Source organism: Homo sapiens, chromosome X, assembly GCF_000001405.40.
Source record: "Homo sapiens chromosome X, GRCh38.p14 Primary Assembly".
Classification (NCBI taxonomy): Eukaryota; Metazoa; Chordata; class Mammalia; order Primates; family Hominidae; genus Homo; species Homo sapiens.
The window spans coordinates 124,881,235-124,893,678 of record NC_000023.11 but is presented as its reverse complement, the minus strand read 5'-3'; the positions used below and the strand labels follow the sequence as shown (position 1 = coordinate 124,893,678).

Below are 12,444 nucleotides of genomic sequence, written 5' to 3'. Positions count from 1 at the left end.
TGGAGAGGGATACTACTGAAAGTAACATTTATAAATGGTTTTCACAACTGGGCCTGTGCTGGGCCCTTCTCTAACACCTCGTGGTAGGGTCCAAGCATCCCACCACAGGGCAGTGACTCAAAAATGGGATGAAACTAGTATATAAGGATTTAGAACAGTGTTTTTAACATGTAGGAAGAATATGAATGTTCACTGTTATTATTGGATTAGCATTTCAAAATTTCCAAACACACTTTTCATATCTTTATCCCATTTCATCCTTATGACCACTCTGTGAAACAAATTCTATTATTTCCATTTTACATATGAGGAAGTATTAAAACAGCAATTCAGAAACAATCTAGTTGAATGCAATGGATTATTTTCCAAGTATGCTTTGCTTTCTCCTTTGGATCATGTGTGTATGCAATATGTAAACTTGAACAACTTTTCCCTGCTCTGTTCTGTATGTCTTACTTTGACTCCTACTAATATTTTCAATAAGGAGTATATAATTTGGGTCCTTATTTATCACCTATGGTAAGATTTTACCAATGTGGATTCCACAGATTTTAATTGATGACAACCATGCCTGGCCTGCCTTCAGCATTTCCATAGATCCTTGAGGAGTTGGTTTGAGTTAAGATAAGAGTGTAAATGGCTTTTCCAAAAGCATGTTAATTTGAGGAAACAAGTTATTTCCAATGAATGAACTTGGTGTTTGTGTGGAAATGTTGCTATTTATTTCCCATTGACTTTATCCATTCATGAAAGCATGCTTATCAAGGCATCTATTTTATTAATTTGAGTTTATACATGTTATATCTGAAAAAGTAAAACTACTTAGAATATTTTTTATGTATATGTTTTGCTACCTCAGACTCCATGCCAGCCCATCCCTGTGGCTCAATTAATGTTAATGACATTTTGTTTTGTTTCTGTCTTCATATACTTTCTGAATTTTAGATTATCGATGAGGCAGTGGGCATGATATCATGGATCAGCTTAGGAACATTTGAGCCTCACTTGCTCTGAATGTTAGAAAAAGTGAAGATGGAGGAAATTGTTAATTTAGGTGAATTGTCCAACTGAGAAATATTCTGAGAAGTAATTTCAAAGATGCTTACTATTCTATTCATCCTAGGAGAATATTACTTTGGTTTTCTACTTACATTTCCAAAATCATGTTTATAAGGACTTGTTTCTTTTATTTCATTAATTGGCCAAGCCTTTCAGAATTTTTTTCCTCATTTCCTTAACTCTGTTTGGTTGCCCTTAATTGAATTTATGTCTCTGACATTTTATAACTCATGAAGGATTATAAGAAATAACCCTTAATTTCAACACTAAAACACTTGAACTTAAAGGCCTGAAGTACTGGAAGGGAAATCATCAGGTGACAGAAGGGGATCTGGAGCCTTTCACAGGGGTATCAGAGCACTAATGCATTATGTTTCCATTCTCTCAAATTTGTCCTAAGTAAACCCTTCATCATCTGTTGATGCTGAATTGTCTGTCAAGAAAGATGCAGATTCATTCAAGTTAGCTTCATTCTGGGACCTGTGAACAGTCAATACCTAGGTGATACTTTGATATCAACCATCATGCTTTATTCTATGTCATTTTTATTCCCATTTCACCTTACTAACAACATTACTACTCTTCATAGACTAATACTAGAGTTGTGTATTTTATATCCTAACAATCATTGTTAATAAGCACTAGACTGGAAGCTACTTGAAGAAAGGGTCTAATTTATTCACTTTTGTAGCTTCAGTACTTAGCAAGGGGACCTAGAGCACAGTAGGCACTAAATAAATGAAAAATATGCATTGTTCTAAGGGTAAAATATATTTTTTGTTGATCTTGTCTTGTGTGACTCTCATAAGGATAAAAGTGCTACAGTGTGTCAGACCTCTGGTCATCTAATATACAACTCTGTCTCTGACAGGTGATCTAATGGTCATTTAATTTTTTTATCTTTAGTTATGGGTACATAATAGGTGTACATATTTATGGGTACATGTGATTTTTTTTTTTTTTTGACAGAGTCTTGCTCTGTAGCCAGGCTGGAGTGCAGTGGTGCGATCGTGGCTCACTGCAACCTCTGCCTCCTGGGTTCAAATGATTCTCCTGCCTCAGCCTCCCAAGTAACTGGGACTACAGGTGCACACCACCACATCCAGCTAACTTTCGTATTTTTAGTTTAGACAAGGTTTCACCACGTTGGCCAGGATGGTCTCAATCTCTTGACCTCGTGATCTGCCTGCCTCGGCCTCCCAAAGTGCTGGGGTTACAACATGTGATGTTTTGATACAGGCATACAATGTGTAATCAGGGTAATTAGGGTATCCATCACCTCAAGCATTTATCATTTCTTTGTTAGGAACATTCCTATTCCAATATTTTAGTTATTTTAAAATATATGATGTTAACATTGACTACAGTCACCCTGTTGTGCTATCAAATGCTAGATCTTATTCATTCTATCTTACTATATTTTTGCACCTATTAACCTTCCCCACCTTTTCCCCCACTTCCCTCTACCCTTTTCAGCCCCTGGTAACCATCCTTCTACTCTCTATCTCCGTAAGTACAATTGTTTTGATTTTTAGTTCCCACAAATCAGTAAGAAGATGACGTTTGTCTTTCTGTGCCTGACTTATTTCACTTGACATAATATCTTCCAATTCCATTCATGTTGTTGCAAATGACAAGATTTCATTCTTTTAATGGCTGAATAATATTATATTATGTATATGTACTACGTTTTCTTTATCTATTCATCTGTTGATGGACATTTAGGTTGCTTCCATGTCTTGGCTATTGTAAATAGTGCTATGATATGTTTCCTTTCTTTTGCATGTATACATAGTAGTGGGATTGCTAGAGCATATGGTAGTTCTATTTTTAGTTTTTTTTAGGGTACCTCCATACTGCTCTTCATGGTGACTGTACTAAATTACATTCCCACCGACAGTATATAAGTGTTCCCATTTCTCCACATCCTTGCCAGCATTTGTTATTGCCTGTCTTTTGGGTAAAAGCCATTGTAACTGGGGTGAGATGCTATCTCATTGTAGTTTTGATTTGCAGGTCTCTGATGGTTAATGATGTTGAGCATTTTGTCATATACCTGTTGGCCATTCATGTGTCTTCTTCTGAGAAATGTCTATTCTTTTGCCCATTTTAAAATCAGATTATTTAATTTTTGTTTCCTATTGAGTTGTTTGAGCTTCTTATACATTCTGGTATTAATCCCTTGTCAGATGGGTAGTTTGCAAATATTTTCTCCCATCTTTACTTTCTAATAAGCATTTCTTAGAAGACTTTGACAGTCCTACTTAAGTATCAACCTCAGTGATTAGGGTACCCCTCAGCAGTTACATTTGGCTACACATTGAACTGGAGGAAAAAACAGTATCAACAGCTAAATTTGAATAATCAATTTCCAAGAATGTGTTTTTCACATGTGGCCTGAATGGAACAGTTGAACTATAAAATGTGAAAATAAAAATTGTTTATCAAGAAGCTAAATGGAAACACATTTTCTAGGTAGTGAAAAAGTATTGTAATCTTTAATAAAATATAAATTGCAAATAAATTATTTATAGTTATAGCCTTGATGATAATGATATTTCTGTTCAAGAAATATTTATTAAGCACCTTCTCTTTGCCAAACTGTGTACTAGAGATTGGGAATATATGAAAGATGAATAACACACATTCCCCAATGTCAAGGAATTTACCGTCTACTGGGAGAGATTGATGCCCTATTAGTTAAGATCGCCTATTATGGGTAACAGGAATCAACTTGAGCTAGCTTAAACTGAAAACAATTGTATTAAAAGTACATAAGAATACAAGGTGACTGTAGTCAGTAATAGTCTGATTGTACATTTTAATATAACTAAAATAGTGAAATATGATCAGTTGTAATACAAAGGATAAATGCTTGAGAGGATGGATACCTCATTTTATATGATGTGATTAATATGCATTGCAGGCCTATATCAAAACATCTCATGTACCCCATAAATATATATACCTACTAGGTACCCACAAGAAATACAATTTAAAAAAATAAAGTACGTGAGAATGCTCCATTGGACTCAGGGCAAGAGTGTGGCTATACCACAAGAAGGGACTTGTTGCAGTCCCTTAACAATTCTCAGAAGAATTGTTAAGACCTTGCTTTTTGTTTTGAAACCCATCTCCTTCAACACTGTCTCTGCAGGTTGAGTTTCTCTAAGTTTCCATCTACAGGACAGGTATAAAAACCCCATACCCCATAAAACCTTAGTTCATATTTCTTCTATTCAGGAAAGAAGCTAAGATTAACCAGATTTTTTTTAGTGCCATTTCTAAATTCCAAGGAGACAGAATAATTTTCTCAACTTGAGTCAGCTGTCTACCACTGGTCTCATCAGCTACAATGAGGGGTAAGGTCAGTAATACAAATGTTGCTTTCTGGAAGCCTACCCAATTGATTCTCGAAGCAATTCCCAATGCAGGGCTGTCAGTGTCAAATGGATATGTATACCCAAAGAGGTCTACTAGAGAGGATTGAAAGCTAATTTTAATACACTTTAGTTAATACCATGATAAAGATACGGTAGCTTGCTCTGAGAGCACAAGGGATGTGAAACCATTTAGTAACGTAAAAGTGGTAATATTAATACAATATAAATAAACAACGTTTTCTGTATAGTAAGTGGTTAAGAATAACCACGATGTAAGACAGACCTAGGTTTTTGCACTAGTTCTGCCATTTACCTGCTATATGTCCTTGGACAGGTAACTAAAGATCTCCAAGTCTTAGTTTCTTTATCTGTCAAATGGTGACTGCAAAGTCTTGGGAGTTTTTGTGGTGAGGATTAAATGAGAAAATGGATATATAGCACTTTACAGTGTGTCTGTTAAAATGAAATGCTCTATAAATGTCAGTTGTGGTTGTTGTTTATCACTATTAATTTATTATGCACGTATTATGGGACAGATGCTATCAGGTAAGGTACCTGTTATCACGTATTAGACAAAGAGGCAGCATAGCTTCTGAAACACCTAATATCCCAGGGAACTCTTTAGCCTAGCAGAACCCAGCCTACTTTCTGCTCATTTTAAAGTAGGTAAAAATCCTTGCACTTGTCTTATTTTAAATAATACAACATTTTATTAATAGGCAACAACCTTGTTCTGCTAAACTTAGAAGACTGTGAGAGGAAGTTCCCTGAGGCACTTCAGACCTGGCTGCAGGTTAACTTGTGCTGTTGTATTTCCCGTTGTCATTGTAGTAACCCTTTAAGGGAGAGGTGGGATTTTAATTAGTACTCAGAAGTCCTGTTGATTTCCTTGACTGTTGGGCGGCTGAGCTCCCTATGTTGTTCTGTTCAGCAACTTTACAGGTAAGGGAATATCTGATACAATCTCATAACAGCCAAGAAATCCATTAGTACTGCTCCCTGTTGCTTCTGTACTGCATACCACAGAACCTAAGTAGTGCGGTATGTGCTACCAATAAACATACCATCATAGCCATGCATATGCTGTTCTCAGACCCTAAATTCATTCAAGGAAACCGCTGGAGTTGTGAAAAAAATGGCTAGCCTAATGCCTGGGTTTCTTGAATGACATGTAATAGTTATACCCAAATGATGAGTTATTTCTTCTGATATTTGACCATGTACATTTGATGGAGGGAATTTGTTTGTTTGTTTTCCATTTCTTTCCTTTGCTTTTTTTTTGTTTTCCCCTGGTAGTGTAAGTTATATAGGACCCTTACATAGCAGTGATAACAATTCCTCAGAAACCATCTGATTGCTAAAGGAAGTGTATGAAACAATGCAATGACTTGGTAATAGCTTCAGCAGGAGCCCTGCCATATAACTGACATCCTAATGGCTCTGTTGGACCCATTAGGCGTGTGTGAGACAGTGCAGTTGACTCTGTAACAGCTCCTTTGGAGATGTTACACTATCAGAGGAAGTGTGGAAGTGATTGGGATTACTTTATGTGTGGGTGAGACACTTCTGTGGTGACTGTGATATTCAAAATTAAAAACCACTTTGATGATACTGAATTTCAAGCCATTATCAAGGTAGATATAACAAGCTCATATTTTCTTTTTCAGTAGGTAATTTTAGCTACTATTATCTTTATGTTAAAGTAATATTGGCCAGTGATTTAAAAATTAATAGTAAAAACAGGTTTAAAGTGAATAAAGTGTATCATCCCCCTCCCTCTCCATCCTTCAGGTTTCACTCTTGAGACACAGTCAGGTTAATAATGTATTATATATAATTCCCCAAATTTTCCACGCATGTACAAATGGGATCACATACTACAAAAAGTCTCATAATTTTTTCCAGTTCATATTATCTTGGATATTTCCCCATATTTGTAGTACAAATCTGCCTCGTCATTTTTAATGACTGCATAGGATTCTGTTTATATATGTGTTATTTTTTTTAGCCAGTCCCTTGTTGATGGACATCTAGATTTCCAGTGTTTTGATATTAAAAACAGTGCTGCACTTAATATCCTTGTACACATCTTTTACACACCTCTTGTATAATTTATTAGAAGTAGAAATGATGGGTTGAAAATATATGCATTTAATGTTTGTTTAGATATTACCAAATTTCCCCCTTAAAAAAGACCTACCAATTTATTTACCTACTAAAGCTATATAAAAGTGCCTGTTTTCCCATATACTTATCAACACTGGCAATGATGAGAAAGATTTCTAATACCCAATCTGCAATATGAAATACAGTATTTCTTCTTGCTATTATTTGTTCTATTTATGGGTGACCTTGGTCATCTTTTTAATGTTAATGGCCCATTTCCATCTCTTCTCTCAATTTCCTGTTGACATACTTTGCCCACTTTCCCATATGAATTTTTATATTTTCTTATTAGTTCTCTAGAGTACTTCCTATATTAAGGGTAAAAAAAAAAAAAAAAAAAAACCTTCACTACATATTATGCATTTTTCCTAGTGTGATATTTGTCTTTTTAAGTAGGTGCATTGTGTGTGTGTTGTGTGTGTGTGTATATGATAAGATTTACATTTTTAAGTGGTAAAAGTCAACTATTTGTACTTTATAGCTGGTGGATCTCTCTCTCTCTCTCTCTCTCTCTCTCTCTCTATATATATATATATATATATATATATGTATATGTTTTTGCTAGCAGTACTATAATTTCCACAATTTGAAAAATAAATTGCTTAAAAATTTAATTTAAAAACAGAATATAAATATCTACACATAAATAATAAATGTGAATGTATGGTATGCATATGTGTAATATATAATACATACATATGGATATATTTACATGAAAGCAAACTTGAATGTAGAAGTTAAATACAGTACAAATAACGTAGCTATTAAAATTAATTAGTATTTTAGAAGTTAGTCTTTGGAGTTGATCTTGATATATTATTTACTCTCTTACTTCTTTAGTATATTACTGTGAAAGAAGCCAAAATGAGTTAAAGTGCTCTTATCAACAGAGTTTTAAAAAAGAGCTTAGAAAATGAAGGAAAAAAATATGGCTGAGCCTATATTCACCAGAAATAAAATGACAACATTGTCATCTGAATTTGAAAATAATGTTTCAATTGCCATAGTTAGGACTTATGCTTTTGGTTGTTCTTTTCTGGTTTGGGAATGGGCTCATGTTAAGTCATTCGTGTTACCTTGCACTGTCCATCTTTTCACTTTTGATAGATATTCATGAGATTGCTGGTCAGAGTTAATTTTTTGGGTAGGTATTTAAAGTGGAATGCAGAATAGCTCACAATTTGAATGTGTGCAGTTGAATTTGTTTTCATATATCCTAGTTGATCATTTTTTGAAATAATTGAAATAATATCTTTAGAGAAAAGGGGAATCATCTTGGCTACTTCAGAGGCAAGTTGACTATCTTTTCAGTAGTTTTTTTGTTATAAAAGTAATATTTTTTAATAAATAGATTATTAAAGAAAATTGGGAAATTACTGAAAAACAGGAAAAAATCCTTAAGGTTCTCTCCAAAATAAAATATTAGTCATATTCTCTCATGAATTAGCATCTTACCTTTTTCTTTCCGTGCATCATGTGTCCTTATCAGGATCCATACAACCTGATATTTCACTTAAATTAAAATGTGAGCAATTTCCAATATTACTAAGTCTTAATTAAATGTTATTTTAAATATATTAATTAGGTAGATGTAACATAATTAACTATACACTATTTTTGAATATTAACATTTCCAGTATTTCACTAGAGCAAAAAGACTAAAATAGACATCTTTGTAATCAAAGATAGGTCTCTTTCTGATCTATTCATTATTAGTAGAGTTCTACAAATAAAATTACTGGGTTCTAAAATATTTTCATTAAAGTTCAAGATATATATTATCAAATTATATCAAGATTCATACTCCCCCATTAGTAAAGCATGATAGTGGCCATTTTAGTGTACCCTCACTGATACTAGATAATTTACTTTAAAATATTTTTCACCAATTTGAAATGTGAAAAATATAACTACAGTCATGTGCTGTATAAGAGTGTTTTGGTCAATGACAGACCATATATATGAGAATGGTCCCATAATATAATAATACCATATTTTTACTGTACCTTTTCTACATTTAGATATATTTAGATGCATAAATACTTAGCATTGTGTTATAATTGCCTACAATATTCGGTGAAGTATTAATAACATGCTTACAGGTTTGTAGCCTAGCAACAATAGGCTACACCTATGGCCTAGGTGTGTAGTAGGCTATACCATCCAGGTTTGTGTAAGTACAATCTGTGATGTTTGCACAATGACAAAATCCCCTAACGACACATTTCTCAAATTGTATCCGTGTCGTTAAGAAATGCATGACTGTATGTTGTTTAAAATTACATGTCATTAGAGAGAGAAAGGAAGCTAGCTGACTAGAGGCATCTGGTACTTACCTCCTCCACAAAGAAGAACCAAAATAGCTAGTAATCACACTTCAAATACATCATCTATGGGAGAATGCTAGAATTCAGCAAAGAAGTGACAGGAAGTACCTAAGGCAAGGAAAAAGAGGGAAGCAAGGCAGCCTGCTCAGCTGGAATGGGCTGGGGACCTGGAAAAGATCCCCAATATGATGAAAGGATAAGTGAGAGACCCCAGCAGTCTCACTGTGAACTCCTGCAGTCCTAGCTATGGAGAACCCTTGATCCATGTGGGCCCTGAGACTAACATAGGGAATATGCCTGGAGATTATGTGACGGCATTGCTCCAGAGAGAGATGTCACATTGGGTCTCACCCCCCACCCACCCCCAAATCCTAAACAGCTACAGCATGACACCATTTTGAGAGCTCGGTCTCCAATAGACAGCATCCTGCCCTGGGGGTCAACATCCTCTGCCTCTACACATCCCTGGAGTACAATGAACATCCTCTGCCTACAGCCACCACCGCAGCTGGCTGCTGCTACCAGGGTCAAAGTATGAGCCATTGGAAGCAACCCCACTGCCCCCAGCAGTGGAGCCTCTTGCATTTGCAAGCACCCTAATGACAGGCTACCCTGCTGTAGCTACTACCCAGGGCAAAAGTGCACACTCCCTACCTGCCTGACAATTGCTGCTGCCACTGAAAACAACCTGTGGCTCCCTGATATCAGGGACACAGTGCAGCCACTGATACCCCTACCCAAGCATTCCACCAGAGGTCTGGGATCACCCTACCCCTGCCGACCACAGTCAGCACCTGCATGCACCACAAGAGGAGGCCCTTAATACAGATCTGCCTGGCCCAGCACCACCACTACCAGTGTCCAAGCTCATTGTCCAGGAGAGTGAGGATTGCCTGCTCAGTCCACCAGTGTTGACAACTGAGCACTCCTCCCAGAAGCCTCAAGTTGGGCCAACACAACCAGTTGATACCACCAAAGCTTGTACCCGTCAGCATGCACCACCTACAGACCTGGGAATTGGCCTGTCCAACCTGCCACAGCCACTGCCAACACAAGCACAGATCACTTGGAAAATAGAAGGTTGTCTTGTCACTGCTACTGCTACTGTCCATGCCACACCTGCTGGCCAGCAGCCCAAGGGCCCACCCACTCACTTGGTCCACTGCTGCAATTGCCAGCACTTGAGCAAGCTTTCTGGAAACCCAATGATCAACCTGCCTGGACCCACTAAGACTGGTGCCAGCATGCACTGCCTTGAATGGGCCCAAGAACAGGCACACTTGGCCTGCCACTGCCACCACTGCAGCTCAAGGAGGGGCCCAGCTGGCATCCTCATCTGCAGCAAAACTTTGCTTTAGCCTTCACTAAAAACTGCACACTAAGCCACTGAGGACATCATAGACACTACTGATGTTGTTTACAGCTAAAGGAGTCACACAGAGATGACACTACGGCACGGCACCCAGAAGCAAAGCAAAAATTTTCTACCCAACCAACATATAGGTATGTGTTCAGGAAAAAGTCCTCCCCTACCAAAGCAAATACAAAAAAATTAGAAGGAGCAACTGTTATACCTGATGCACAAATATCAATGTTAAGGACAAAAGAAACATTAAAAAGCAAGAAAATATGATACCTCAAAAGAACACAATAATTATCTATCAACAGATTCTAATGAAAAAATAATTTATGAAATCCTGGGAAAATAATGATATTAAATTCAGTGAGACAAAAAATTAAATTAAATTAAAAACCCAGGAATACAGCTAAACAAGGAGGTGAAAGATCTCTACAATGAGAATTAAAAACACTGCTGAAAGAAATCAGAGATGACACAAACAAATGGAAAAATGTTCCATGCTCATGGATAGGAAGAATCAATATTGTTAAAATGGCCATACTGCCCAAAGCAGTTTTACAGATTCAGTGCTGTTCCTGTCAAACTACCAATGACATGTTTCACAGAATTAGGAAAAAAACTATGCCAAAATTTATATGGAACCAAAAAAGAGCCAGAGTAGCCAAAGCAATCCTAATGAAGCTGGAGGCATCACATTACTCATATCAGAGAAAATAGATTTATGTCAAAAATACTAAAAATAGACAAAAATGTCATCATATAATGATAAAGCAATCACTTTAGCGAGAATTATGTAACAATTCTAAACATATATGCCGCCAATACCAAAGCACTCAGATGTATAAAGCAAATATTATTAGACCTAAGAAGGGAGATAGACTACATAGATTAATAGTTGATAGACTACATATGTTAATAGTTGACTTAGACACCCCACTCTCAGCATTAGACAGATCATCTAGAGAGAAAATTAACAAAGAAACATGGGACTTAAACTTCCCTTTACACCAAATAGGCCTAACAGACATCTACAGAACATTTCATCCAACAGATACAGAATACACATTCTTCTTATCAGCACATGTAACATTCTCCAGGATAGACCACATGTTAGGACACAAAACACGACTCAACAAGTTTTTAAAAATCAACATCATATCAAGTATCTTCTTATACTACAGTGGAATTAAACTAGAAATCAGTAACAAAAGGAACTTTGGAAATTGTACAAATATATGGAAATTAAATATCCTCCTTAATGACCATTGAGTCAAACAAGAAATTAAGGAGGAAATTTTAAAAAATCTCTTCACACAAATGAAAACTAAAACACAATATAGCAAAACCTAAGGGGTTGCTGGGCTTGGTGGTTCACACCTGTAATCCCAGCACTTCGGGAGGCCGAAGTGGGCGGGTCACCTGAGGTCCGGAGTTTGAGGCCAGCCTGGCCGACACAGTGAAACCCTGTCTCTGCTAAAAATACAAAAATTAGCCGGGCATGGTGGCAGGTGCCTGTAATCCCAGCTACTCCAGAGACTGAGGCAGAATAACTGCTTGAACCTGGGAGGCAGAGGTTGCAATGAGCCAAGATTGAGCCATTGCACTCCAGCCTAAGTGACAGAACAAAACTCTGTCTAAAAAAAAAAAACAAAACAAAACAACAACAACAACAACAACAACAAAAACTATGGGATACAGCAAAAGCAGTGTTAAGAAGGAAGTTTATGGGAAAAAAATGCGCACATCAAAAAAGTAGAAAGATGTCAAACAACCTAATCAGGCACCCCAAAGAATTAGAAAAGCAAGAACATACTAAACCCCAAATTAGTAGAAAGAACACAATAATAAAGATCAGAACAGAACTAAATGAAATATGGACTATAAAAAGTAATACAAAGGAACAACAAATGAAAAGTAGGTTCAGCAGATAAACAAAATCAATAAACCATTAACCAAAAAAAAAGAGAGTAGACCCAAGTAAATAAAACCAGAAGTGAAAAAAGAGACATAACAAAAACTGATATCATAGAAATGCAAAAGGTCATCAGAGACTGTCATGAACAACTATACACTAACAAACTGGATAACGTTGAGGAAATGGATAAATTCCTGGCCACATACACCCTACCAAGATTGAATCAGGAAAATA

General features: G+C 36.4%; 1 protein-coding gene across 13 annotated transcripts in view; it reads left to right on the top strand.

Moving 5' to 3' along the window:
- TENM1 (teneurin transmembrane protein 1) overlaps positions 1-12,444 on the top strand; it is an 828,410-nt gene that overhangs the window by 310,634 nt on the left and 505,332 nt on the right. The gene's annotated exons all lie outside the window — the stretch shown is intronic.